This window comes from Homo sapiens, chromosome 8 (genome assembly GCF_000001405.40).
Source record: "Homo sapiens chromosome 8, GRCh38.p14 Primary Assembly".
Taxonomy (NCBI): Eukaryota; Metazoa; Chordata; class Mammalia; order Primates; family Hominidae; genus Homo; species Homo sapiens.
This window is the reverse complement of record NC_000008.11, coordinates 24,539,438-24,567,003: the sequence shown is the minus strand read 5'-3', so window position 1 is coordinate 24,567,003 and position 27,566 is coordinate 24,539,438. Positions and strand designations below refer to the sequence as shown.

The 27,566-nt window shown below is 37.0% G+C and overlaps 1 long non-coding RNA gene across 1 annotated transcript in view; it reads left to right on the top strand.

Moving 5' to 3' along the window:
* Nucleotides 1-18,385: 18,385 nt before the first annotated feature.
* ADAM7-AS1 (ADAM7, ADAMDEC1 and ADAM28 antisense RNA 1) overlaps nucleotides 18,386-27,566 on the top strand; it is a 252,805-nt gene continuing 243,624 nt past the window's right edge. Inside the window, exon 1 of the long non-coding RNA NR_125808.1 lies at nucleotides 18,386-18,464. This is a non-coding gene — a long non-coding RNA (ADAM7, ADAMDEC1 and ADAM28 antisense RNA 1). The remainder of the gene's footprint in view (nucleotides 18,465-27,566) is intronic.

The following is a 27,566-nucleotide window of genomic DNA, read 5'->3' as shown; positions in this document are numbered from 1 at the left end:
TGGGTGGGAAAGAAGAGAAAATGGAAAGCAAATAGTTTTTAAGGAAACGATTGTTGAAAAAACTTCAAAATTTATGAAAAAACATCAGCCTATGGCTTCAGATAACTTAGGGAAACCCAGGTTGGCAAATATGCATTAAACAATAGGAACATGATAGTCAAATTGTTAAAAAAACAAAGAGAAAGAGAAAATCTTAAAAGTAGTCATAGGAAAAAACAGCACATTAACTTTAAAGGATCAACTGACAGTTGATTTTTCTGTGAAAGAAGTAAGAAAAAAATACAATGGTATCTTAAGAGCGCTGAAACACGAATAACTGCCAACCTAGAATTTTACACCCAGCAAATATATCCTTCAAAGATGAAGGTGAAAGTAAAGACATATTCAGAATAAAACCAAGTAAATTTGTCACCAGCAGACCTACATTAAACAAAATACAAGAGAGGTCTACAGGAATAATTAATGATTTCAATGGAAATATGGAAAAGCAGGAAAGAATGAGAAGCCTGTTAGAGTATATATGTGAATAAATGTGAGGAAATTGACTGCAGAAAAGAAAACTCCTAATGTCTGTGAGGATCTAGAACTAGAAATACCATTTGATCCAGCGATCCAATTACTAGGTATATACCCAAAGAGTTATAAATCATGCTACTATAAAGACACATGCACACATATGTTTACTGCAGCAATGTTCACAATAGCAAAGACTTGGAACCAACCCAAATGTTCATCAATGATAGACTGGATAAAGAAAATGTGGCACGTATACACCATGGAATACTATGCAGCCATACAAAAGGATGAGTTCATGTCCTTTGCAGGGACATAGATGAAGCTGGAAATCATCATTCTCAGCAAACTAACACAGGAACAGAAAACCAAACACCGCATGTTCTCACTCATAGGTGGGAATTGAACAATGAAAACACTTGGACACAGGGCAGGGAACATCACACCCTGGGGCCTGTCATGGGGTAGGGGGCAGGGTGAGGGATAGCATTAGGAAAAATACCTAATGTAAATGATGAGTTAATGGATGAAGCAAACCAACATGGCACATGTATACCTATGTAACAAAACTGCACGTTGTGTACATGCACCCTAGAACTTATCATTTAAAAATATATATAATATATGGAATTAAAATGTGTGATAAATGTAACATGAAATGCATAAGGGGTAATTTTAGTTAAAGTATTGTAAATTCCAGAATTATTAGGAGGTGATAAAAGTAATATTTATACTGCATTATACTCACTCAAAAATGCCTGCTATGATACCATAGCAGTAGTAACCACTGAAAAAGAATGAAACAGAAAATAACTAAGAAGTTAATAAGAGCAAAATGGAATAGTGAAAATAACATTTAAATAATATAAAATATAAAATGAGAAAAAATTAAAATTGGGTCAAATAGAGAACAAGCAGTAAAGTGGTAGATAGAAGCAGAACTAAATAAGTAATTAAATTGAGTATTAATGGATTAAGCATTTATATTTAAACACTTTAAACATAGAGATAATAAATGGATTAAAATAACTATATTCCATGCAAATATGTAATAAAAGAAAACTCTAGTAGCTTTGCTAATATCAAACAAAATAGGCTTTAAGGTAAGAAATCTTACTAAAAATAAAGGGGTATATTTCATAATAATAACTGGGTAAATCTGTCAAAACAATATCAATATTTTAAATTTGTATGCCTTCAATGGTGCATCTTTATGATATGTAAAGCAAAAAATATTAACATAATTTAAAGGAGAAATAGACAAATCAAACTGATAGACAGATCTTAACAAACATCTATAGCTTATAGAACAAGTAGACAAAACTCAGTGAGAATATAGCAGAAATTAACAACACATTCAGTAAACTTGATCTGATTTATCCATTTATGCCTGAGGTTGCAATTTTTTGAATTTTTGCAATCAGACCTGGGCGATGACCTTGAGCAGTAGGATATAAATAACTTCCACAAGCTTAGCATTCCAATAATGGAACACTAGGTATTTAACATGAAGAATACCCCATAAAAATCACAATAGAATTCACATTCTTTTCATTTTTGTTTTTCAATTTTTATTTTAGGTTCAGAGGTACATGTGCAGGTTTGTTACATGAGTAAATTACATGTCACAGGGGCTTAGTTTACAAATGATTTTGTTATCCAGATAATGAGCATAGTACCCAATAGTCAATTTTTCAACCCTCACCCTCCTTCCACCCTCTACCCTCAAGTATGCCCTGGTATCTATTGTTCCCCTCTTTGTGTACATGTATACTCAATGTTTAGCTCTCACTTACAAGTGAAAACGTGGCATTTCTTTTTTGTTGTTGTTTCTGCATTAATTCACTTAGGATAATGGCCTCCAGCTGCATCCATGTTGCTGCAAAGGACATGATTTCATTCTTTTTTATGGCTGCATAGTATTCTGTCATGTATATGTACTACATTTTCTTTATCCAGTCGACCATAGATAAACATCTAGATTGATTCCGTGTATTTGCTTCTATGAATAGTGCTGTGATGAACATATGCATGCATGTATCTTTTTAGTAGAATGACATTATTTCTTTGAGTATGTAGCCAGTAATGGGATTGCTGGGTCAAATGGTAGTTCTATTTTAAATTCCTTGAGAAATCTCCAAACTGCTTTCAATAGTGGCTAAAATAATTTACATTCCCACTAGCAGCATGTAAGTGTTTCCTTTTATGTATAACCTTGTCAACATCTTATTTTCTAACATTTTAATGATAGCCATTCTGACTGGTATGAGATGGTATCTCATTGTAGTTTTGACTTGCATTTCTCTAATGGTTAGTGATGTTGAGCATTCTTTCACGTGTTTGTTGGCCACGTGTATGTCTTCTTTTGAAAAGCATCATTTATGTTTTTTGCCCATTTTTTGAAAGGGGTTGTTTGCTTTTTGCTTGTTTATTTGTTTAAGTTCTTTATAAATTCTGGATATTAGACCTTTGTTGGATGCATACTTTGCAAATATTTTCTCCCACTCTGTATGCTGTTTGTTTACTCTTTTGACAGTTTCTTTAGATGTGCAGAAGCTCTTAGTTTAATTAGATCTCACCTTTCTATTTTTGTTTTTGTGGCAACTTTTGTTTTGTTTTGTTTCGTGGCTACATGTTTTTTTTTTTTTATTATTATACTTTAAGTTTTAGGGTACATGTGCACAATGTGTAGGTTAGATACATATGTATACATGTGCCATGCTGGTGTGCTGCACCCATTAACTCGTCATTTAGCATTAGGTATATCTCCTAATGCTATCCCTCCCCCTCCCCCCACCCCACAACAGTCCCCAGAGTGTGATGTTCCCCTTCCTGTGTCCATGTGTTCTCATTGTTCAATTCCCACCTATGAGTGAGAACATGCGGTGTTTGGTTTTTTGTCCTTGCGATAGTTTACTAAGAATGATGATTTCCAATTTCATCCATGTCCCTATAAAGGACATGAACTTATCATTTTTTATGGCTGCATAGTATTCCATGGTGTATATGTGCCATATTTTCTTAATCCAGTTTATCGTTGTTGGACACTTGGCTTGGTTCCAAGTCTTTGCTATTGTGAATAGAGCCGCAATAAACATATATGTGCATGTGTCTTTATAGCAGCATGATTTATAATCCTTTGGGTATATACCCAGTAATGGGATGGCTGGGTCAAATAGTATTTCTAGTTCTAGATCCCTGAGGAATCACCACACTGACTTCCACCATGGTTGAACTAGTTTACAGTCCCACCAACAGTGTAAAAGTGTTCCTATTTCTCCACATCCTCTCCAGCACCTGTTGTTTCCTGACTTTTTAATGATTGCCATTCTAACTGGTGTGAGATGGTATCTCATTGTGGTTTTGATTTGCATTTCTCTGATGGCCAGTGATGGTGAGCATTTTTTCATGTGTTTTTTGGCTGCATAAATGTCTTCTTTTGAGAAGTGTCTGTTCATGTCCTTCGCCCACTTTTTGATGGGGTTGTTTGTTTTTTTCTTGTAAATTTGTTTGCGTTCCTTGTAGATTCCAGATATTAGCCCTTTGTCAGATGAGTAGGTTGCGAAAATTTTCTCCCATTTTGTGGGTTGCCTGTTCACTCTGATGGTGGTTTCTTTTGCTGTGCAGAAACTCTTTAGTTTAATTAGATCCCATTTGTCAATTTTGTCTTTTGTTGCCATTGCTTTCGGTGTTTTAGACATGAAGTCCTTGCCCATGCCTATGTCCTGAATGGTAATGCCTAGGTTTTCTTCTAGGGTTTTTGTGGTTTTAGGTCTAATGTTTAAGTCTTTAATCCATCTTGAATTAATTTTTGTATAAGGTGTAAGGAAGGGATCCAGTTTCAGCTTTCTACATATGGCTAGCCAGTTTTCCCAGCACCATTTATTAAATAGGGAATCCTTTCCCCGTTGCTTGTCTTTCTCAGGTTTGTCAAAGATCAGGTAGTTGTATATATGCAGCGTTATTTCTGAGGGCTCTGTTCTGTTCCATTGATCTATATCTCTGTTTTGGTATGAGTACCATGCTGTTTTGTTTACTGTAGCCTTGTAGTATAGTTTGAAGTCAGGTAGCGTGATGCCTCCAGCTTTGTTCTTTTGGCTTAGGATTGACTTGGTGATGCGGGCTCCAGTATCAGGATGATGCTGGCCTCATAAAATGAGTGAGGGAGGATTCCCTCTTTTTCTATTGATTGGAATAGTTTCAGAAGGAATGGTAGCAGTTCCTCCTTGTACCTCTGGTAGAATTCGGCTGTGAATCCATCTGGTCCTGGACTCTTTTTGGTTGGTAAGCTATTGATTATTGCCACAATTTCAGAGCCTATTATTGGTCTATTCAGAGATTCAACTTCTTCCTGGTTTAGTCTTGGGAGGGTGTATGTGTCGAGGAATTTATCCATTTCTTCTAGATTTTCTAGTTTATTTGCATAGAGGTGTTTGTAGTATTCTCTGATGGTAGTTTGTATTTCTGTGGGATCAGTGGTGATATCCCCTTTATCATTTTTTATTGTGTCTATTTGATTCTTCTCTCTTTTCTTCTTTATTAGTCTTGCTAGCAGTCTATCAATTTAGTTGATCCTTTCAAAAAACCAGCTCCTGGATTCATTAATTTTTTGAAGGGTTTTTTGTGTCTCTATTTCCTTCAGTTCTGCTCTTGTTTTAGTTATTTCTTGTCTTCTGCTAGCTTTTGAATGTGTTTGCTCTTGCTTTTCTAGTTCTTTTAATTGTGATGTTAGGGTGTCAATTTTGGATCTTTCTTGCTTTCTCTTGTGGGCATTTAGTGCTATAAATTTCCCTCCACACACTGCTTTGAATGTGTCCCAGAGATTCTGGTATGTTGTGTCTTTGTTCCCGTTGGTTTCAAAGAACATCTTTATTTCTGCCTTCATTTCGTTATGTACCCAGTAGTCATTCAGGAGCAGGTTGTTCAGTTTCCATGTAGTTGAGCGGTTTTGAGTGAGTTTCTTAATCCTGAGTTCTAGTTTGATTGCACTGTGGTCTGAGAGACAGTTTGTTATAATTTCTGTTCTTTTACATTTGCTGAGGAGAGCTTTACTTCCAACTATGTGGTCAGTTTTGGAATAGGTGCGGTGTGGTGCTGAAAAAAAAAGTATATTCTGTTGATTTGGGGTGGAGAGTTCTGTAGATGTCTATTAGGTCTGCTTGGTGCAGAGCTGAGTTCAATTCCTGGGTATCCTTGTTAACTTTCTGTCTCATTGATCTGTCTAATGTTGACAGTGGGGTGTTAAAGTCTCCCATTATTATTGTGTGGGAGTCTAAGTCTCTTTGTAGGTCACTCAGGGCTTGCTTTATGAATCTGGATGCTCCTGTATTGGGTGCATATATATTTAGGATAGTTAGCTCTTCTTGTTGAATTGATCCCTTTACCATTATGTAATGGCCTTCTTTGTCTCTTTTGATCTTTGTTGGTTTAAAGTCTGTTTTATCAGAGACTAGGATTGCAACCCCTGCCTTTTTTTGTTTTCCATTTGCTTGGTAGATCTTCCTCCATCCTTTTATTTTGAGGCTATGTGTGTCTCTGCACGTGAGATGGGTTTCCTGAATACAGCACACTGTTGGGTCCTGATTCTTCATACAATTTGCCAGTCCGTGTCTTTTAATTGGAGCATTTAGTCCATTTACATTTAAAGTTAATATTGTTATGTATGAATTTGATCCTGTCATTATGATGTTAGCTGGTTATTTTGCTCGTTAGTTGATGCAGTTTCTTCCTAGCCTTGATGGTCTTTACAATTTGGCACGATTTTGCAGTGGCTGGTACCACTTGTTCCTTTCCATGTTTAGTGTTTCCTTCAGGAGCTCTTGTAGGGCAGGCCTGGTGGTGACAAAATCTCTCAGCCTTTGCTTGTCTGTAAAGTATTTTATTTCTCCTTCACTTATGAAGCTTAGTTTGGCTGGATATGAAATTCTGGGTTGAAAATTCTTTTCTTTAAGAATGTTGAATATTGGCCCCCACTCTCTTCTGGCTTGTAGAGTTTCTGCCGAGAGATCTGCTGTTAGTCTGATGGGCTTCCCTTTGAGGGTAACCCGACCTTTCTCTCTGGCTGCCCTTAACATTTTTTCCTTCATTTCAACTTTGGTGAATCTGACAATTATGTGTCTTGGAGTTGCTCTTCTCGAGGAGTATCTTTGTGGCATTCTCTGTATTTCCTGAATCTGAATGTTGGCCTGCCTTGCTAGATTGGGGAAGTTCTCCTGGATAATATCCTGCAGAATGTTTTCCAACTTGGTTCCATTCTGTCCGTCACTTTCAGGTACACCAATCAGATGTAGATTTGGTCTTTTCACATAGACCCATATTTCTTGGAGGCTTTGTTCGTTTCTTGTTATTCTTTTTTCTCTAAACTTCCCTTCTCGCTTCATTTCATTCATTTCATCTTCCATCACTGATACCCTTTCTTCCAGTTGATCGCATCGGCTCCTGAGGCTTCTGCATTCTTCACGTAGTTCTCGAGCCTTGGCTTTCAGCTCCATCAGCTCCTTTAAGCACTTCTCTGTATTGGTTATTCTAGTTACACATTCGTCTAAATTTTTTTCAAAGTTTTAACTTCTTTGCCTTTGGTTTGAATTTCCTCCTGTAGCTCGGAGTAGTTTGATCGTCTGAAGCCTTCTTCTCTCAACTCGTCAAAGTCATTCTCTGTCCAGCTTTGTTCCGTTGCTGGTGAGGAACTGCATTCCTTTGGAGGAGGAGAGGTGCTCTGCTTTTTAGAGTTTCCAGTTTTTCTGCTCTGTTTTTTCCCTATCTTTGTGGTTTTATCTACTTTTGGTCTTTGATGATGGTAATGTACAGGTGGGTTTTTGGTGTGGATGTCCTTTCTGTTTGTTAGTTTTCCTTCTAACAGACAGGACCCTCAGCTGCAGGTCTGTTGGAGTTTGCTAGAGGTCCACTCCAGACCCTGTTTGCCTGGGTATCAGCAGCGGTGACTGCAGAACAGTGGATTTTCGTGAACCGTGAATGCTGCTGTCTGATCATTCCTCTGGAAGTTTTGTCTCAGAGGAGTACCCGGCCATGTGAGATGTCAGTCTGCCCCTACTGGAGGGTGCCTCCCAGTTAGGCTACTCGGGGGTCAGGGGTCAGGGACCCACTTGAGGAGGCAGTCTGCCTGTTCTCAGATCTCCAGCTGCATGCTGGGAGAACCACTGCTCTCTTCAAAGTTGTCAGACAGGGACATTTAAGTCTGCAGAGGTTACTTCTGTCTTTTTGTTTGTCTGTGCCCTGCCCCCAGAGGTGGAGCCTACAGAGGTTTTTCGTTGTTGTTGCTTTTGGAGAGTTAATGAACTATATACCAAGGCCTATGTTCAGAAAGTATGACCCAGGTTTTCTCCTACTGTTTTTATAGTTTACATTTAAATCCTTAAAACACCTTGAGTTAATTTTTTATATGATGAAAGAAGGGTCCCATTTTCTATCTTCTGCATATGGCTAGCCAGATATCGCAGCACTATATATTGAATAGGGGGTCTTTTCCTCATTGTCGACTTTGTTGAAGATCAGATGGTTGTAGGTGTGCCACTTAATTTCTTGTATTCTTTGATTGTATCAATTGGTTTATGTGTCTGTTTTTGTGCCAGTATCATGCTGTTTTGGTAACTGTAGCCTTGAAGGATACATTGAAGTTGGGTAGTGTGATGCCTCCAGCTTTGTTGTTTATGCTTAGGATTGCTTTGGCTATTCAGGTTCTTTTTCGGTTCCACATAAATTTTTGAATATTTGATTCTCAAAAAGGATATTTTGATAGGAATAGCATTGAGTCTGTAAGTTGCTTTGGATAGTATAGCTATTATAACAATATTGATTCTTCCTCTCCAGGAGTGTGAAATGTTTTTCCAATTTGTTGGTGTCACCTCTGATTTCTTTCAACAATGTTTTGTATTTCTCATTGTGGAGATATTTCACCTTTCTGGTTAGCTGAGTTCCTAGGTATTTTGTTCTTTTTGTGGCTATTATGAATGGGGTTGTGTTCTTGGTTTTGCTGTCAGCTTGGGAGATATGGGTGTATAGAAATCCTACTGATTCAAAATTCACATTATTTTCAAGTACACATAAAACATTTACTAAAACCATCATGTGCTGAACCATCAAGAAAGCTTTAACAAATATCAAAGGATTAATATTCAGAGGATGAGGTCTGATCTTCAGGGAAATCAAGCTAGAAATATATAATTAAAAATAACTTAAAATCCTTTGACTTTGTGAGGCTGAGGTGGGAGGATTGCTTGAGCACAGGAGACTGAGGCTGCAGTGAGCCATAATTATAACACTGCACTCCAGCCTGGGTGACAGGCTGTGTCTAAAAAAAAATAAAATAAAATAAAAATTGGGCCAGGCACAGTGGCTCATGCGTGTAATCCCAGCACATTGGAAGGCCGAGGTGGGTTGATCACTTGAGGCCAGGGGTTTGAGACCAGCCTGGCCAACATGGCGAAACCCTGTCTCTACCAAAAATACAAAAATTAGCTGTGTATGGCGGTGAATGTCCATAATCCCAGCTACTCAGGAGGCTGAGGCATGAGAATTGCTTGAGCCCAGGAGGCGGAGGCTACAGTGAGTCAAGATTGTGCCATTATACTCCAGCCTGGGTGACAGAGGGAAACTGTCAAAAAGAAAGAAAGAAAAAATTGAAAAATAAATAAAATCTCCAAACTTAGAAATTTAACAATGCATTCCATAGTAATTTGTGAACCAAAGAAGTTACAACCAAAATTATAGAATATTTTGAATTCAATTTCAGCAAAGATATAACCTTTTTAAAAAAGCAAATTGTGGAACTCAACTAAGGCTCAGAGGCAAATTTTTAGTGTTACATATCTATATTAGGAAGGAAAGAAAGCAAAGTACTCACAAAGCTAAACTAAATAAAATAGAAGAAAAATAGTAAAGTTAAAAGCAGAAATAAATAAAATTAGAGTACAATAGTAAGCAACAAAGTTATAAATTGACTCTTTTAAAAATTAATAACATTGATAAATACCTAGAAAGGGCGATTAACAAAAAGGAAGAAAGGGTAAAAAGGAAGAAAGGAAGAAAGTATGGAAGAAAGAAAAGGAAAAAACAAAGAAGAGAGAGGAAACGTAAGTTACCAATAGCAAGAATGAGTATTACCATATTTCCTATACACATTTAAAGTGGTAACAGGATGTTAGAAACAACTTTTTGCCGGTAAAGTTGACAATTTGGATGAAACAGGTAAATTGCTTAAGAAAAAACTAACATAAACTGAAAGTAATAGGAAAACAATCTCTAGCCTAATATTTAGTAAAGAAATTGAATCTGTTGCTAAATACCTTCCATAGACACAAAATAACAGTTAACGAAAACATACTCATATAACTTTGCCAGTATTCTTTCAATACTTAAGGAAAAGAATAATACCAATATTAAAAAATTCTTTCAAAGTATAGAAACATAGAGAATACTCCCCGACTCTTTTTTGAGGCCAATATAACCGTCATCCCAAACTTGATAAGGACATTATAAACCATTAGTCCTCAGGGATATAGATGCAGTAATTCTAATAAAATTTTAGCTCAGTGAATCCAGCAAAATATATTTTAAAAAAGAATACATCTTGAATAAACTAGTCTTATTCCAGGAATATAAGAGTAACCTAATATTTGAAAATCAACCAATGTTTTCTTTCATATTAGCAGAAAAATGTTTGTGAGCAGTGGGGATCAAATGATATTTTTTTTTCATCTGGAGATGAACATTTGAGTAATGTCAATACTATTCACAATAAAACAACAACAATAACAAGCCAAAGAGACAGCAACAACAAACAAGGAAAATAAATTCTCAAGAAACAAGGAAAAAGAAAAAGCATTTCCTTATTCTGGTAAATATGAATGAATTTCTCATTATGTTTATATAAACCAAACCTAATGAATGCACACAGTGTAAGTCGACTTATAGAAATACCATTTGACCCAGCAATCCCATTACTGGGTATATACCCAAAGGATTATAAATCATGCTGCTATAAAGACACATGCACACGTATGTTTATTGTGGCACTATTCACAATAGCAAAGACTTGGAACCAAGCCAATGTCCAACATCGATAGACTGGATTAAGAAAATGTGGCACATATACACCGTGGAATACTATGCAGCCATAAAAAATGATGAGTTTATGTCCTTTGTAGGGACATGGATGAAGCTGGAAACCATCATTCTCAGCAAACTATCGCAAGGACAAAAAACCAAACATTGCATGTTCTCACTCATAGGTGGGAATTGAACAATGAGAACACATGGACACAAGAAGAGGAACATCACACACCGGGGCCTGTGTGGGAGCGGGGAGGGATAGCATTAGGAGATATACCTAATGTTAAATGATGAGTTAATGGGTGCAGTACACCAACATGGCACATGTATACATATGTAACTAACCTGCACGTTGTGCACATGTACCCTAAAACTTAAAGCATAATAAAAAAAGAATTCTAAACCAAGGAAAAGTAATCTGTAATGTTAGAATTCAGAGAAGTAGCTACCATTGGTCTTTATTGGCTTGGGCTGTCCAGAGTGAGTGGTTTCAGCAGCAGAACTTTATTTTTCACAGTTCTGGAGGCTGAGAAGTCCAGGATCGAGGTGCCAGCAAGGCAGATTTCATTCTGAGGCCTCTTGGCTTGCAGGTGGCTGTCCATCTTGCTGTGTACTCTCATAACCTCTTCTTGCTCTGTATGTGGAGGGAAAGACAGCAAGTACTCTTTTGTTTCTTCTTATCACAGTATCAATTCCATCATAAGGGCCTCATCTACTAAATATTAGTATTGTATCCAAATACCATCACATTGCAGGTTAGGGTTTCAACATATAAATTTGAGGACGGGAGAAAAGCATTCATTCCCTAATACCGTTTTCAAGAGAAAAATAATGACTGGAAATGGGTAAGTGCAAGCTTCTATACTGTTAGCCAAGTTCTGATTCTTGAAACTGGTCACTGGTTATATGGATGTGAACACTAAATATACATTACTTGTCCACTTACAATCTGTGCACATTTAGGTGTGTGTGCTAAAGAAAACAAAAACAAAAAGAAATAAACAAAAAACACCCTAGCTGAGTGAGGTGGTGCACATCTGTAGTCCCAGGTACTTGAGAGGTTGTGGTGGGAGGATCACTAGAGCCCAGGATTTTGAGGCCAACCTGGACAACATAGTGAGACCCCATCTCTAAAAATCAATAAAATATATAAAATTAAAAACTCTACAGGATGTCGTTTTTATATATATTATAAATTCATAACTTCTTCCTTTTTTTTAGACTTAGGAAATGTGCCAAGGCAATCTGCATCAATTCTGATCACTTTTCCTACCTTGGAATAGGCTTAGTTTGTATTTCTTAAAATGTCATCCAGGCTCCCAAACATGAAGCCTTATTTTCGACATGATTTATGAAAATTTAACACGTGGAATAATTTTTTTACAGGTTATAATTAAAAAGAACAGGACTTAGCAGGAACTTAATTTCCAAGTGGCCTTTGTGCAAAATACTGAATCATTCTATTTCATGGCCTGAACCCCTACAGTGTTGCTCATTTTGTGTGTGTAGGGAAAAGTATCCTAGAGACAGGCAAACTGGGCTATTGTTCTCACACTCCTCTGGTCCTATTTTCCCCAGAAAATTGTAAGTAGCTACTGCTTTTATTGTCCTTTTAGGAGGAAAACCATGATACTAGCGAATTGTCCTTGACCAATTTTCATGGACATATAAGAGAGAAATTGAGGGAAACTTGTTCTGGAGCTGATAACCAAGTGATGTTTATTTGTAATCTTCCCCCTGCCCACCCTCTTAAAGGCATGAGCCAAGAAGTGAAGACAGAAAGTGGATCTTCATCCCTGGAAACTCTGGGTCCTGGTTTGGGACTGTAGGACTCTGTCTGTCCTGTTTGGTACCAGCTGAATGTGATGTCATGCAGTGTCAGAATGATACTGCTTTGATGCTGTCCTGTTTTTCAAAAGATATTTATAAGCTGCATAACAAAGGCTGCTAAACGATTCTTCCTAGTTGGAATTAAAGTGGAAGGCAACAAGAGAGGCAATTTTCTCCTTTCTGAATGATCATGACCCATGAGTTTAAAATAACTTGGGCTATTAATCACTAATCAGATTTTCCGGATTGTCAAGTCCATATTTATCATAGTGTAAATTCTGTAAATTGTGCAGATTCCCATCATCCTTTGGGGGAATATGTAATAATAAAGCATCTTTAATATCTGTTTTGGTTCAGTACTTTAACTCTTGAATTGCCATTTGATGGTCCACTATAGTTTGCTCTTCTCTCTCAAATCAATTCCTTTCTCACCAGATGCACACGTTCTTATTCATTATTCACCCTCAGATCTCACCTAAAGCTTTCTAAATGACTCTGTTTTGCTTTCCTCTGCCCATGGCTCCACGTTTCTTCCCCAGTCCCCAACTCCAGGTCTAGCTTTATACAATTCAGATAAGATCATGTCACTGTCTTGTAAAAATCCTTCTGCATCTCCTCATGGCTTTCAGGAGGAAATTCCGTCTGACTTTGAACATACGGCCTTTCATTCCTTGGCCTTTGCCCAGTTACCATGCTCGATGACCTTGGCCAATCCACTGTGCTTTTTGCACCTCAGTTCCCTCCTTTGCAAAACGGAAATAATGAAGTTCCTACCTCATAGGGCTATGGTGAGGTTAAGATGGGATAAGGCATATAATATATTTAGCTTAGTGCTTCATGTGCAGGCTGAAGGTGGAAGGGCAAAACAGGGTGTATGTGTCTTCACATGGCAGAAAAGAAGAAAAGGGGAACCCATGTCCTCAAGGCTTTTTATAAGGGCCTGCTCCCCATCCATGAGAGCTTCTTTCTCATTAATTAATCGGCTCCTAAAGGTCCCATCTCTTAATACTGTTGCCTTGGAGATTGTTTCAATATGACTTTTAGAGGGACACAGACGTAGACCATAGCAAGGGCAATTTTAGTTCCTTTTTGTCATGATACATTTTTGTACTATCTGAAAAACATACAATAAAGAAGTATTACTTATATAACCATAAAGTTAATAGGGTTATTTTTATGTGGGAAACAGAAAACACACAAAAACATACAAATAATATAAACAGGAGTTTGTAAGACTTCTGAATGAGATGGCAACATGAGCAGAAAACTTCATGTATTTCTCTAAATGGCTCTCTCCCTATTTTTTCCACCCTCCTCACAGTACCTTAATGAAATGAGCAACACAAAATATAATGAGGAAAAATCTTCATCAATGCTTTGACAAGAGATAGGAGTGATCCATAGTCCTTAAAAGTTAAGAAATCTGCAGGATAGAGTACAAAAGTACTTGGGTTTCAAGGAAGACAGGGCTGGCATGCACTATTCACTTGAGAATGTTCTGTTACAGGAAACATACAGAGGAGACCACAGTAGACTTCACCCTCACTATCTTTTCTGGAGCAATGAAAGCCTGTGGCTGAGGCAGATCATAGGTGTGACACTGTACACACTTGTAGGCTCAAAGTCACCATGAGGCCACTGTGCTCATGTAGCACCTACAAGTGGGAAGAGAGGATGGCAGAGAGGGAATGTAGTCATTATATGAAAAAGATACTTGCACACACATGTTTATTGCAACACAATTTGTGATTTCAACAATATGGAACCAGCCCAAATGCCCACCATTCAATGAGGGGATAAAGACAATGTGGGGTGTATATATATGCACACACACAATAGAATACTACTCAGCCATAAAAAGGAATGAATTAATGGCATTCACAGCAACCTGGATGAAATTGGAGACTATTATACTAAGTGAAGTAACTCAGGAATGGAAAACCAAACATCATATATTCTCAGTATAAGTGGGAGCTAAACTATGAGGATGCAAAAGTATAAGGATACAATGGACTTTGAGGATTCAGGAGGAAAGTGTGGGAAGGGGATGAGAGATAAAAGACAACAAATTGAGTTCAGTGTGTGCTGCTTGGGTGATAGATGCACCAAAATCTCACAAATCACCACTAAAGAACTTACTCATGTAAGCAAACACCACCTGTTCCCCCAAAACCTATGGAAATAAAAAAATTAAAAAACAAAACAGCTTACATACAACCTGTATCCCTTACATGCCCCCAAATTGGAGAAGCAAGTGTTAACAGTTAATGGAAGTTTTCACAGAAGACTGAAACCTTATCAGTTGATTCCATTTCATATCTATAAATCCAAAGCACTAAGAGATAGTTACTATCTGTCTTGTTACTGACGTTGTTACTGAAAGTGTGGGTCTTAGGGCTACAGCATCAGTAATATCTGAGAGCTGATTGGAAATGAAGACTCTCAGGCTCCACCCACTGCTCTCAGTCAGAATCTGTTTTTTAAAGAAGATTTCTAGTGATTTATAAGCATGTTAGTAAGAAAAACACTGCGTTAGGAGGCCCTAAATTAAAAATAAAAAGAGTTAAGCAGCAGTCAGGTAAATTAAGAGAAAAACCCAGGAGGTCTCAACCACCGGTTAGAGAGAAAAACATTTGGGTAGACCTTTACTCGCTCTCACTTGGGAGTGAAAAAACAAAGCCCAGTCAAATCAAAACAAACAAAACACAGAGTTGAATGACTCTACAACAATTCTGTGCCCTTAAGGAAAGAACACATTTTTGAGATTGAATAACCATAGCAAACAGGACATATAATAAAGCAAGATAAAATAAAAACATTTCTCAGTAAAATTGACATAAAATTATTTTTAAAAATTTGTAAATCAACAAGAACAGAAGGAGATAAGAATTAAAATCTGCATCATATTGAGGGGAACATATCATAATGGCAGAAATCCAAATTACTAAATGGAATCATGATAGACAAAAACTCACACCATTAAAAGCAAAAACATTCAAATGGCTAAAGGGTGAAAGTTTTCATATAAAAACTGGAGATAATCTACACATAATTGGCATTCTTAATAAAAAAGGAAAAAAAAACCCCACAAATGGAACAGTAATAATATATATATACAGATAACAGAAAAGACTCTTGAATGATACTCTAGTTTGCAGATCAATCAGATCCCCTGGGTTAAAAAAAAAAAAAGTTGAATGCGAACTCTAAAAAATGTTGAATGTAAACACACCTTTTAAACAAGCTCAAAGGCACACCTCAAGTACATGCTGAAAATATTAATTCCCAGGCCTATTCCTAGAGAGTATGATTAGGTAGGTTTGGATGGAACCAAAAAATTCAGAATTGCAACCAAAGCCCAATGTGATTTTGATAATCAGTTAAGTTTAGGAAACTAAAACCTAGTGACAAAAAGAAAGTCAAACAAACAACTAATTAAAAATATCATAGGTATATCTGGGAAAATAGCACCCGAAGCATAACAGTATAGGAAGTTTATGGTGGTGCGTCTCTGTAGTCCCAGCTACTCGGGAGGCTGAAGCAGATGAATCACTTGAACCCCAGAGGCAGAGGTTGCAGTGAGCCGAGATCACGCCACTGCACTCCAGCCTGGTGACAGACCGAGACTCCGTCTCAAAAAACCAAAACAAACCAAAACAGAAAAACAAAAAAAACCCCACCATATCTTTTAAAATAGAAGTCAGTTAATATTTTCCCATTTCTAACACTTATTATTAGAAACATACATTTCCAATATAGTTTTAAAAGTTTGAGTTAATCATACATAAGATGCGAAATGGTTTTAAGTTCTCCAAATTATTGGAGAAAAGCAAAATCCAATAAGAAATCTTAGCTCAAAGAGCAAAATAGAAAAAAAGGTATAACAAAATGTAATAAAATACCCAACATGAGTTTTTATAAAACGTTTAACCAAGATAAACAGCCTGATTATAAACTGGACAAAAGCAAAGAACAATTCTGTTGTTCAGTAATCTCTTCCAAAATAAGGTGAAATGGATTTGTTATCAGTAACTTGTTGGAGAGAATATTTTGGATGAAAAATTTATAAAATACTAAAGCAAAGTGTAAATAACATTAGTTACAGCTAGAGGGTTCCAGGGCAAAAACTTTAAGTGGGAATACAAAGATCACTTATAAATTAAAATGATAACTTCCCAGAAAATAAAGTACTAATTAACTAAACTTTTATCTATCTTAAGAAAAGATAGAGGAAAAAAACCCCACAATGTTATAAATAAAAACGATATGTGACTAATAAAAAATATATTTTAAATAACTAACATGTAGAATACTCTGCTAATAAATTTTAATTCATTTGAATTCTTGACAGAATAAACATAATTTCTGGAAAATGTTATGACTTCATTTGATTTAAGAATAAATAGAAGATAGGAATTGATCATGGATATGCAAATATGAGATTTTTTTTTTTTGGCCAAAAAATTACATCTGAAAAATACTGTTGCCGCAACTAGTAATTCCAGGTCTATCTTTATTTTGAATTTCCAAGATTTAATGTCCATAACTAATTATGCCAGGTTAAAAGAAAATAAGATCAAAAGCTTTCCAATTCATTTAACAAAAATTTACATTTTGCTAAAACTGTATTTGATAATGATAGAAACAGAGAGTGAAATAAATACTATAAAAATTATTTTTTGCACTATTAAAGACCATGATCAAGGATATAATATGATCATTACCAAATAATAGGAAAAGAAATAAATAATCATATGGGAATGTTCCCTTTGTTAGTAATCCAATAATGCAGATTAGTATTTTTTGCTATTGTGATAATACTTATTATCTTAGTTGTGACTATAGGGCAAAATAAGCAATATTCGTTTAAGAGCAAAAATTTCTATACATTCTCTAAAATTTTGTGGAAGTTTACCAGGCTAATCCTAATCAAGAAATTTATTTATAGGAAATAAACAGAAATGCCCATAAAGACTTATGTACAGTAATATTTATTATACTCTTATTTATGATAGCAAAAAATAAAAATTACTAAATATCCAACAATTAAAGTTTATTTACATGCATGATAGCATATCCATAATATGGGATTTTAGATCATTTGTAAAAATTTAGCAAAGTGACCTTGATATAACCTGAAAAGAGAGATATCAAACAGTATATAGATAAACTACCACTGTCTTTAAATATATAAAATATCCATTTAAAAATATTGTGTGTATGTATATATGTGTATAGATAGGTTAGATGGATGATAGATAAATGGATATATGGATAAATTTGTATGAAGAGATTTATGTGATATGTATGTGTATATATGTATAGATAGGTTAGATAGATGGTAGATAGATACACAGATAAATTTGCACATAGAGTTTTATGTAAGATAAAATAGTTGTCTCTATGTTTATAGCATTTATAATTTTTGGATTGAGGAATTAAATGTATTTTGGCTTTCTTTATACAACTTTGTATTTTTCACATGTTGCGCAAAGATCAGCTCATGATTGGGAAAACAATGCTTAAGTGCACAATTTTGTAAAAAATCAATACTATGTAAGGAAAGTTTGAGGCTGAGTTTTGGAACTTTTCCTAGGGATTCAGAAATAACCAATTATAGACACTGTCTTAACATATCATTGGATCCTATTGTTTTGTAGCTTCTGTGAATTGTGCTTCTTGTTCCTTACCAATCTGTTTCAAGTAACATGCCCTCATAACTCAGAGGGGACTGATTTGGAGGAAACTGGCTCTGTGCTGAACAGACTTTGGGAGTGGGTGCTTTATATATTCATTTTCAAATAACTCAGCATCCTTCCTTATCTATTTTATCTGGTTAGATTAAAATTTACTGTTGCTATTTTAACTGTTCCCAGAAAACCCTTAGAAGGTTTTAGCTAGAGTGTGTTTATGAATATTCATAGACAGTTAGCTTCTGTATTGGAAACCACACCCACATCTCTGCAGTATCTGCAGAAAGAATAAGGGCGTCCTCTGAGACCCATAGGGCAACATGGAAACTTGACAGCAGCTGCCTGCAGAATGCACATAAGGTTTGCTTGGCTGTATTGATTTTTCTAAAAAAGCCTTCTGATTTATGTTTTTGCATTATGGAAATATTTTTAAGTTTCTTATATCTGCTTTGCATGATTCGCCTAACACAAAACCTCATAAAATTAAAAAATTATCTTCTTCTAAAACCAGAGATTAATATGTAGCTTTTTTTTTTTTTTTTTTTTTTGAGACAGAGTCTTGCTCTGTCGGCCAGGCTGGAGGGCAGTGGCACGATCTCAGCTCAGTGCAACCTCCGTTCCCAGGCTCAAGCAATTCTGCCTCAGCCTCCTGAGTAGCTGGGATTATGTGCCACCACTCCTGGCTAATTTTTGTATTTTTAGTAGAGACAGGGTTTCACCATGTTGGCCAGGCTGGTCTCGAACTCCTGACCTCAGGTAATCCACCCACCTCAGCCTCCCAAAGTCCTGGGATTACAGGTGTGAGCCACCACACCTGGCGAATATGTAGCTTAAAATAACAAGCAACAAAAAACAATACATATACTGTTCCTGTATTTTTGGGGATGTACAGTGAAGCAACAATTTGCATATGCACATGGTAGGGAATGTATTAATAGAAAGGAGGTTAAATATATAGACATGCTATGCATGTCAATGAGGCTATCATTTTGAATTTGAATTTGATATAAGAATACAGAGGCATATGTAAGTGAGTCTGTATATGGGTAAATATTGGAAACTTGCCTAAGATCACATAGCTAGCTAGCTAGCTAAATGTGTTGTATGTGTTTTGTTGGTATATATCATTTATGAATATCTATACTGTGTAGCACATGGGTCAACAGGAAACTTCTAGCCCCTGGGGGAAGTAGGAAGTCCTCCTCACAATTTTTTTGTGTGTCAGTTATTGCTGCCTAGTCTCTCATGGCCTCCTCTGTCTTATCTTATAAACATTGTCTTTTAATTGCACTAAGTAGCCAAAAGTGGAAATCAATAGCTCTTAGAGAACTGACCCCCTCCACACAATCCCAGACCAGTGAATCCACAGGTGTAAAAAGATATTAGAGAACTGTGGACTTACTGAAGTTTTCATTTGGGAAGAGTGTAAATCACAACATAGAATTTCAAATGTTTTTGAAACATATTTTTTCTAAAGTTCCTGCCAGAATCTCGCTTTCTGATTTCCCTAAGCATCTAGTCTTCCTTTTTGGTTCTTTTGTCTGTATTTTTCTCTAAAGAACTTCAATTCTCTTGTTCTCATTTGCAGAGTAATTTAGCAGATTTGCATATCTCATATTTGCTTATCTAAACCTATCAATGTACTCTCAAAACAGGGCTTTTCTTACTAACATAATTCATCCTGCTTAGGAACAGTTGGGGTTATATAACATAAGCCTTTTCTTTTTAATTGAACACACAGTGGTTTTTCTTATGCATGAGTGCACCTGGGTTCCATTTTTGTTGTCTTCTCACACGGTGTTCTTCCTGTGTACGCTCTCCATCTCTAGTGGTTCAAACTCCTGTTTCTGTTACAGTGATTTGCAATTTCCCGTCTCACCTTCTACCTCCACCTGCGTCACAAACCCACACACAGATCTGCATTCCAGACATCTAGACTTGGAGGTCACTTGAGCACCTTAAATTCAACATATTCGAAACAAATCTCTCTATATACCCCACAGGTGACACGTTTTTATTTTATTTCATTTTTCTATACTCTTTATATGTATTAATACTACCACTATCTTCATAAGCACTCAGAAGTCTTACCTTATAATTAACATTGGATTTCTAATGAAAATCTGTCCCCTCTAAATTTGTCACTTCCTTTCCAACCTCATTTGCCTTCCTTGAAACCCTCATTATTATTTTTCTCCTAGAGTCCAGAAACCACCAAAGTAGTCTTTTTTATTTGGTCTGTTTATACTTCAGTCTCCCTCTTCCACTTGTGTCAGAGAAATCTTTCTAAACTGTAAATCTGACTTCCACTCCTCTGTTCCTCCTATAGGATCCTATTGCATCCCAAACCCAGGGACGCAATTAGAGTACAGTGTCCATCACAATCTGGATCCAGGTGACTACCTGCCTTACTCATTTCCATTCCTCTTCAGGCACCCCATGCTGGGTCCAGCCTCTTCTTGCATCTCCCAGTGAGCTATCTTATTTGTTTTGTATTTCTGAACCTATGTAAGTGTTGTTGCTTTTTCCTTGAAAGATATTCCTCAATTTTATTTTTCTGATCAGTAAACTCCTACCTTTCCATCAAGACCCAAACCGAAAGAATAGACTGCTGTGAAGACTTCCATGACCCCTGTATTTTTCTCTTTTGTTCAACATCAATTCCCTTTCTTCCTTGTGTTTCATAATATGTTCTTCACCCTCTATTAAAGCACATGCTGTATTACATTGTGATGATTATTTTACACTTTGGTCTCTCCACTAGAGTGGGAGTTCCCAGGTCAAAATGGCATTATATTTGAATTTATTTCTTCTATATTGAGCACAGTGCCTACAGCAAGGTCAGTGGATGCATATTGTTGAATTAAATAATGGCCAAGTCTTATTTATGATATTTGGAGACAAATGAACTTCAGATGGGCTCTTGATATGATCTTTTATATAATAAAGGTTCTCTCATTAACCAGACCTTAGCCAGGCTCCTCTGAGCTGCCTTTAAGACTAGGCCTCATTCTTGGGTTTTACCTTAGGCCTGCTTAGTGCAATTTTAGCCAGAATCCTGCTAAGCCACTTTAGCAAGAATCTTCCCATCCTTGATATCCGATCATCCTCGATAACTCATCAGATTTCTCATTCTCAGCCTTTGGTGCATATATACTTGGCTTACCTTTGGTAAGAATCTTGTTAAGTCAGTTTAGCAAGAATCCCACTACCCTGGATCCTAGCTGTCACCTCCTAGTAATTTTCTTTTCTTTTCTTTTCTCTTTTTTTTTTGGGACAGATTTTCACTGTGTCACCCACGCTGTAGTGCAGCAGTGCTATCTCGGCTCACTGCAACCTCAGCCTCCTGGGTTCAAGTGATTCTTGTGCCTCAGCTTCCCAAGTAGCCTGGATTACAGGTGTGCACAATCACGCCTGGCTAATTTTTGTATATTTAGTAGAGACGGGGTTTTGCAATGTTGGCCAGGCTGGTCTTGAACTCCTGGCCTCAAGTGATCTGCCCGCTTTGGCTCCCAAAGTGCTGTGATTACAGGCATGAGCCACTGCACCCAGCCAGTAATTTTCTCTCCACTGATTCTCTCACTCTGCTCTTTGGCTATAAATCCTTAAAGGTCTGTTTTGTATTCAGAGGTCATCTCTCTCCCCTACTCTAATGGTCTTGATACCTATGGTAATAGTCCTCATTAAAATCTTTTGTATCCTTTTAACAAGTATCAGAATAATATTTTCTTTAATATATACCATATTGTTTCTTATGAAGGTACTCCCTCTGCACATCAATAAGGTTCTCAGAGACATGCTGATTTTTCTAGATCATTTTAAAAATTCTTCCTATCTGAGATGAATTAAGTATGCACTTCTCAACCTACATGAATAACTAGTTAACTTGGGCTTAGAGAGTAACTTACTCATATATCAGAATTTCACTGTCTGTAGTCAGGATAATAGGTGATATTTCAGTATCTTATTGGTACACATGTGTTTATACATCAACAAAAAGGACTGATTTTATAATGAATGCATAAGAATATGTACATTTAAATGATTATTAACCACTGAGATTCCTGAAATTAGATCAAAATGCTAAAGAAAGAAAATCTCCCAGTGTCTGAGTAATTCTAAGCATTCATTTATACATTACTTTTTCCTATTTCTCCAATCAATAGAATGTCCTTGAGCATCTATACACTTAGTGCAATGATACTGACACTGACTGAATGCCTCCTCTGGGAACATATAAATTACAATATTTTTAGGATCAATTTTAAGAGTTCATAATTACACTTTGGTTTTCCTTAAGTATTAAATATTTTATGACTACTTCAAGTAAGATGTGAATACACTACCTTTCCTGCGTACTATATTAAATACTTTTCAGCACCTACTGCTAGGCGCTGTGAATATGGAAGAAAAATTATCAAATCCTGTCCTCATGGAGCTTATGTTGTCGTGCAAAAGGATGACAATAAACAAGACAACCTAAAATCTGCTAGATAGCAACAAGAACTGTAGAGAAAAACATAGCAATGTAGACAAGAAAGGGTTTGTGTAGAAGATATAATTTTATATGGGTTTAATAGTCAAGGTTCTGTAGAAAAACATAATTAATATATATGAGTTTAATTACAGAAATCAGTTCATGCGTTTATGAAGATGATGACCCATGACATGCCATCTGTAAGCTGGAGAACAAGGAAAGCTGGTGGTGTAATTCAGCCCAAGTCTGAAGGCCTGAGAATCAGGGGAGCCCATGGTGTGATTCCCACCCTGAGTCTGAAGGCCTGATAATGAGGGGAGCCCCTGGTGTGACTCCCACCCTGAGTCTAAAGTCTTAAGAACAGGGTGTGTGTTTGGAGGGGGTGCTAGTGTTGTGCCAGTGTAAGTCCTGGAACCTGAAGATGCAGAGACCAAGAACTAAAATTTCTGAGGGCAGGAGAAGATAGATGCTCCAGTTCAAGATGTGTGTGTATGTGTGTCTACGTGAGAGAGAGAGGAAGGGAGGGAGGAAGGGAAGGAGGGAGAATAAGAGAGAGAGTGCATTTTCCCTTCCTCCACCTTTTTGCTCCATCTTGTCTCTCCATGAATTTCATGATGCCCACCCACCTTGGTGAGGGGGGATCTTCTTTACTCAGTGTGCTGAGTCAAATGCTCCTCTCTTCTGGAAATAGACACAAGCAGAAATAATGTTTCATCAACTATCTGGGCATCCCTTAACCCTGTCAAGTCGCCACACAAAATTAACCATTGCAATGAGAGTAGATTAAGAATGCAATTGAAATGGTTCTAATTGAGAATAAAGATGAGGAGAGAGCAAGAGAAAGTTTGCTGGAAGATGGTCATCCCAGACAGAGGAAGCACCCAGTGCAAAGGTGTGGAGGGCGGATGCGGATGCTTGCTGTATTCCAGGTACAGAAGAGGGCAGTAGTAGAAGAGGAGTAGGGAAGTCATGTTGGGGCCAGGTCAGTGTAAGGCCTCTGACTTTCACTTTGAGTGAGATGGGACCTCTGAGGGTCTGGAGCAGAGAGGTGACGTTATTCATTAACTTTTTAGGAGAATTACTCAGGTTGCTCTTTGAACAGTAGATCGTATGGGATAGGCATAAGCAGGGAGACTAACTAGGAGGTTTTTGCAATAATCCAAGGGGAAAAAATGGCAGCAGTTTCCACCAGAGTGATAATCACAGTGGTGATTATGAGTGGAAGAGGCTGGATTGTGAGTGTATTTTGAAAGTAGGTTGGCAGTATTTGCTGATAGAGTCAAGGTCGGGTGGAGAAAAAGAGAAGAAATAAAGATGACTCCAAGGTGTTTTGCTTAAGCAACATGAAGGATGGGATTGCCATTTACTGAGATGAAAGAGGTAGGGATTTGGGAAGGCTAGAGTTGGGTAGTAAGAATATCAAGAGTTTTGCTTTTAAATATGTTAAGATGTATAACTAGAACTCTCTCCCAGAAAATAAATCTGTTGCATTTTTTTTCTTGCCAAGATAGCAATAGACTTGAAGCTACCAATGTGCCTATGCAGTGGGTTGTATACTTAGATGGCTAGACATTGCAATGAGTAGTGGGATAGTTGCCTCAAAGTCTAGTGGCCTTGAAGATAGGATTTAAAACTCCCAATGGGACAAACAGCCTATCTATATTTCACAAAGCTAAGAGAGCTATTCTAATTAGATAATTAAGTCTCAAGACGGTTTGGCTTGGATAGAACTCTACCTCAATGAAATCTGTATCTTCCTCCCTAGCATTAAAGCAGACTACCTTCTCAGTTTCTGTTGGTTTTTTTTTTTCTTTTAACATATGGACGTATCATATCTAGCTAAGAGGATTTCTGTGCTTGCTTATGAAGGGTGCTAATGTTACCTCAAAAAGGAGTCATAATGTCATCTTTCCATAAAATTACAGGAAACCCTGTAAGTTGAGGTAGATATGATATTTTTCAGAGCTCTTGCATATTCAATATTTCATTGGATGCCCTTGCATGCAAAAAGTCTGCGGAATAGGTAGGACTGCCACAATTATTGTCATTTTTCAGCAAGAAATAAGAATTTTGAAAAACAAAAACAAGATGAACCTAAATTCTAGAAGTGGTAAGTAGCAGCACAAGGTTGCCAAGGTGACTGTATCAGAGCTTGGATGAGGAACGAGGTGTGTTAACTTATAGTTTAATATTCCTTTCAACATAGTACACAAATATAATTACTCAGAATTTAACTCTGCATTTCTTAATCTCTTATGTAGATTTTGTTTTGGAACAAGCAGAAATCCCTGCAGGCTAGTTTATGTATGAATTTGTTGGGAAATAATTCTAGGCTATTGGCAAGTTGAGGAGGGACTTGCTTTTACTGAGTGATCATAAAGTATCTTATATAAGCAATTGGAGACTATCCAGTTCTTTCTGGTTGCAGAGAAACTTGTCCTCCAACTCCTGGAAACAGAAATTTTAGACTCAACCAATGAAACTTAAGCAAATAGCATTACCTCATCAAAAGAGCTTTTCATTGGCTGTTCGTTTTCCATGTCGCTTTAAGATAGTTTTTAATACTTTAACCCTTGTGTGTATAAATCTATGTAGTGCAGTGTTGGAGCTAACTCTTGATACTAAAGACATTTTCGGTGATATACATGTAGCATATGGATAGATTAAAGAAGTGAATGCCATTTATTTCCATTCAAAACATACAACAATACTAATAGTAAATTTGACTTATAACAAAAACTTTATTTTCTTTTTGCTGACTCATAACACCTCTGTTTGAATGCTAAAAAGATACCAGTTCTTGAAAAAAATAAAAGAGCAAGGAGAACCATAGACTGATGCTCTACTATATGTACTAAACCTTGTGGCTTTGGAAACATCTATTTCCCATGGATTACACCTCCTTAACCATCTGTCTTTGGTAAACTGGGAGTTAGTGTTGGATTTATGCGCTGGGGAGGGGAATAGAAATCTACACATGTGGGAACAAGAAGGATGAATACAGCTTAAGGATTTGAGCAGCATTGGAAGGATCCGTGAATTAAAAATCTCCTATAGTTAACCATGAGCACTTACTCGTTCTTCTCTGGTATAGGGACGCTTTTGCCATTACCTCTCTTTCTAGTCCCATGAATCCTTTAGGTCATAATAATATCTCATCTCTTCTAGTTAAAGCAGTTCCTATTAGTCTGAATTCACATTTTTGACTGCTTACATTTTTTTCTTCTGTCCTGTGAAGTCAAGATTTAGGAGTTACAAGTTTTCAATCTCTCTCAGAATACACATCTGAAGATTGGTAATAGGGATGATGATTGGAGTCAGACTCTGGAGTAAGGACTGAAAATGATCACACTTCTTAATAGCTAACAGGTGAGGACAGCCCAGTCCAAAAAAGAAGGGCAGGCAGTGTCTTTTGTTTCTGTTGCAGTTCATAGACTTAGATTCTCAGAGTCTTAAATTAGCTGAAGGTGCCATAAGATTGAAAAAGATCTACCTTTGATAACTATCTCTGTCTCTTCCTGTATTGTAAATTTTTATAAATTATTTAATTTCCATGAGCTTTAGTTTCCTTGTCTGTAAAACTGGGAGAAATGAAACCTAGATCACAAAGCAGTTGTAGGGATGACAGGCAGGTACATAGACCCACCCTCTCTGGCATCTCCTTTAGCATCTCTCTTTTACGCTAGATAAGATTCATTCATCCTAGGTGGTGAGAAAGAAAATGTTGTACTTAGCAGGAATTTTTTGGTATCACTCTCCATCCATCAAATTACAATAAAAATAAAGCCAATACATAGATATTACAGAATCTGCCAGAAGCGTGTGTTTAAAATGACCTAATGCAAGGACAAATCCCCAGTGCATTTTGTGACTCCCCACTTATTTCTGCCATGGGATACTGAAACCCTCACTTCGCCCTAACTTCCCTCCCAGTTTGTAGCCAATCCCCATCAGAACAGAAAAAAATTCAGTGACGGCGTAGGTCGTGAATTAGATTTGTTGTCATTGATCTGCCTCACCTCTCATGAGCCATGAGCATCTGAAAGCCACAAGGCTACAGTCTTCACCTTTGCCTCTGAGGTGTAGGCCTCTTTGTTCCTCTTAATCTTGTCTTCCTGCTCAACGTTTCATTTCCATGGTGAGAAAAGAGATTTAACCTCAACTGTGGCTCAGCATTATTAGAATCTAGACATCGTTCCTGTCACTTGTCTTTTTTGAGCTGTGCCATCCATTCAAACTATGGGAACTCATGCCAGGAACCACAGGTTTGACCTGATTGTATGTTATCACTACCAATAGTAAGCCAATTGCCTCTACCTATTTGGGCATTATTTGGTATCACTGGTTAGCTGATTAACAGACACATCCTTCAAGATTATTTAATTCATTCACTTTTTCAATTTTTCATCTATTGTTTTGTCCACTTTCTGAGCACATCCTCTACTTCAAATTCTTGCCTAAGCCCTAGGATACAGAGCTACATATATTAATGTTCATCCCATTGGTTTTGATCTGACCAAGCCTCAGCTTCACCTTGAACTGTACTTATCCCAGGGTGACTCATAGCTGAGCCTTAAGTATCCTTAAAAGCTACCTTATAGTGTTTTAAGAAAATTTTTCAAATAGAAGATGAAGACATGTTAATAGAGTCAAATGTATATTGAATATTTTTGATATTTCCTAAGTCTTTAATTCACCTCAAAGCAAATAAGCAAATGATCTTTCTAAAGTGGAATTATTTACATTAAAAAATGAGGAGATTGGCCAGGTGTGGTGGCTCACGTCTATAATCTCAGCACTTTGGGAGGCTGAGATAGATGGATTGTTTGAGCCAGGGGCACAAGACAGACGTGGGCAACATGGTGAAACCCCATCTCTACTAAAAATGCAAACATTAGCTTGGCATGGTCCTGCACACCTATAGTCTCAGCTATTCAGGAGGCTGAGTTGGAAGTATTGCTTGAGCCCAGGAGGTCTTGGCTGCA